Below are 3388 nucleotides of genomic sequence, written 5' to 3' on the forward strand. Positions count from 1 at the left end.
AGAGGAAGGGTCACATGTCTCTTATGCTAAATCTAAAGTTTGAGGGTGAGAGAGGTCAGAAGCTATGTCTCTTGCACCAAACAGTTAACCAAGTTGTGAATGCAAAAATAAAATAAAATTTAAAAAGTTCTGGAAGCAACCAGAAGCGCTATTCTAGTGAATACACAAGTGATAAGAAGGTAAAACAGGCTTATGGCTGGTACCGAGAAAGTTTTAGTGGTCTGGATAGATCAACTCAGTCACAGTATTGTCTTACCAAAGCCTAATCCAGAACCAAACTCTAATTCTCTTTGAAGAGTTGATTCAGTGAATGCTGAGACGAAGCTAAAGAAGAAAAGTTGGAAGATAGTAGAGGGTGGTTTATGAGGTTTAGGGAAAGAAGCCTTCTCCATAACATAAAAGTCCAAGATGAAACAGCAAGTGCTGATGTAGAAGCTGCAATAAGTTATCAAGAAAATCTAAAATAATTGATAAACATGGTTACACTAAACAACACATTTCAATATAGACAAAAAAGCCTTCTGTTGAAAGAAGATGTCATCTAGGACTTTCGTAGCTAAAGAGAATCTATGCCTGGCTTCAAAGGTTCAAAACTAGGCTAATTCTTTTATTAGGGCTAATGCAGCTGGTGACTTTAAGCTAAAGCCAATGCTCACCATTTAAGAAAATCCTAAGGACCTTAAAAAGAATGCTAAATCTACTCTGCTTGTGTTTTATAAATGGAATAATGAAGTCTGGGCAACAGCATATCTGTTTATAGCATAGATTACTGAATATTTTAAGCCCACTATTGAGATCTACTGCCAGAAAAAGCATGTTTTCTTTCAAAATATTATTGCTAAGTGGCAATGCAAATAGTCACTGAAGAGTTTTGATGGAGATATACAAGAAGATTAATATTGTTTTCATGCCTGCTAACACCATATTCATTCTGAAGTCCATGGTTTAAGTAGTAATTTCAACTTTCAAGTCTTACATAAAAAATACATATTGCAAGGCTATAGCTGCCATGGTGATCCTCTGATAGATGTGAATAAAGTAAGTTAAAATCCTTCTGGAGAAGATTCACAATCTAGATGCCACAGAGCATTTGTGATTCATGGGAAGAGGTCAAAATCAACATTAACAGGAATAGTATGAAGGAAGTTGATTCCATCCCTCATGGATGACTTTGAAAGGTTCAAGATTTCACCAGAGGAAGTAACTGCAGATGTGGTAGAAACAGCAAGAGAACTAGAATTAGAAGTGGAACCTGAATATGTGACTTAATCCTGAAATCTCATGATAAAAGTTGAATGAATTAGGAGTTGCTTCTCACAGGCGAGTAAAGAAAGTGGTTTCTTGAGTGGAATCTACCCCTAGTGGAGATGCTGTGAAAGTTGATAAAATGACAACAAATGATTTAGAATATTACATAACTGAGTTGATAAAGCAGTGGCAGGGTTTGAGAGGGTTGACTCCAATTTTGAAAGAAGCTCCACCGTAAGTAAAATGCTATCAAACAGTATGACATGCTAAAGAAAAAATTTTTATGTAAAGAAGTCAATAAATGTGGCACTTCATCATCTTATTTCAAGAAACTGCCACAGCCACCTTAACCACCTCCCTGCTCAATCAGCAACCATCAACATCCAGGTAAGACTCCCTACCAGCAAAAAGATTGTGATTCTGGAATCTCAGATGATCCTTTACATTTTTTTTTTTTAGCAATAAAGTATTTTTAAATTAAGATATGTGTTTGGCATGGTAGCACGTTCCTATAGTCCCAGCTACTCAGTAGGCTGAGGAAGGAAGATCACTTGAGTCCAGGAGTTCTGGGCTGTAGTGCACTATGCCAGTTGGGCATCCACACTAAGTTTGGCATCAATATGGTCACCTCCTGGGAGTGGGGGACCACCAGGTTGCCTAAGGAGGGGTGAACTGACCCAGGTCAGAAACAGAGCAGGTTGAAACTCCCATGCTGATTAGTAGTGAGATCATGCCTGTGAATAGCCACTGCACTCCATCTTGGAAAACATAGTGAGACCTGGTCTTTCTTAAAAAAATAAATAAAGGTATGTACATTGTTTTCCATAGAATGCTACTACACACTTATGAGACTACAGCATAGTGTAAATATAACATTTATATGCACTCAGAAACCCAAACATTTGGATGACAGCCTTTATTGCAATAATCATTTTACTGCAGTTGTCTGGAACTGAACCTGCAATGTCTTTGTGGTATGCCTGCATATACATGGGGCTTTGAAAAAGATGTTGCCCACAGGTTATACTTTGGAAGGAAGCTGACAAAATTTAGATGAATATGCAGTCACAATTACTTCTCAATACTCAATGGGTAAAATGCTGAATGCTGCTCAGCATTATTGGTGGCAATAAGAAGAAAGCATATAATTTCTCAGCAAAGGTGACACATAGTGCTCATTTAAGTCAATAGAGATGATTAATAGGTTTTAGGTTAGGCACCATGTGGCACTGTAGGAGTGACGAGTTGAGTAGAATATGCTGACTCTGCTGCTGTGGATGCCGAGGAGGAAAACACATTAGTTAGTATTTCAAAATATTATCCTGTTACATTCCTGTTACATAAGTCTGCCCCCAAATTACAATAGCTGATTCTAATCATCCGTCAACTTTGATTCCGGTGTTGACAACACATTTTACAAGATGTGATTATTTTCCTTTTGTATTCAATGGGCAATCTAACATCCGCATTTGCTGTCTTCTGCTCTTTTGGGTCTATCAATGAATCAACCAGTCAATCAAACTTGGGCCCATACTAGTTTTAAATTCCCTTCCTGGATTATAAATTTGTTACATCAATATTAACTAATGTATTATTCATTGTGCTTAGGCAAATACAAATCAAAATTACAATGAAATATATACCTACAAGGATGGCTATAATCAAAAGGCCAGATGATATGAAGTGTTTCAAGGATGTGGAGAAATTGGAACCCTCATACATTGCCGGTGAAAATATAAATAATGCAACAGTTTTGGAAAACAGTTAACAGTCCTTTAAAATGTTAAAGATAGAGTTTCTATATGATCCCACAATCTCACTCTTTGATATATAACCAAGAGAATTGCAAATATATGTCCACACAAAAACTTGTTTACAAATGCTCTTAGTAGCATTATTTGTAATAACCCCAAAGTAGAAACAGCCTAAATGTTCATCAACTGATGAATGGGTAAACAAGCTGGGTTATATTCATGTAATGGAATATTATCTAGCATAAAAAGTACTGATTTGTGCTACAATATGGATGAACCTATACTAATTTTATTATGCATAGGGAAAAAATTATGCTAAGTAAAAGAAACTAGACATTATGCTAAGTAAAAAAAATTATGTCTTGAATGATTTCCTTTATGTGAAG

General features: G+C 36.3%; 1 pseudogene; it reads left to right on the top strand.

Annotated features, from left to right (window-relative positions):
• RN7SL218P (RNA, 7SL, cytoplasmic 218, pseudogene) lies at positions 1741–2033 on the top strand (annotated as a pseudogene).

Source organism: Homo sapiens, chromosome 4 (genome assembly GCF_000001405.40).
Source record: "Homo sapiens chromosome 4, GRCh38.p14 Primary Assembly".
NCBI lineage: Eukaryota > Metazoa > Chordata > Mammalia > Primates > Hominidae > Homo > Homo sapiens.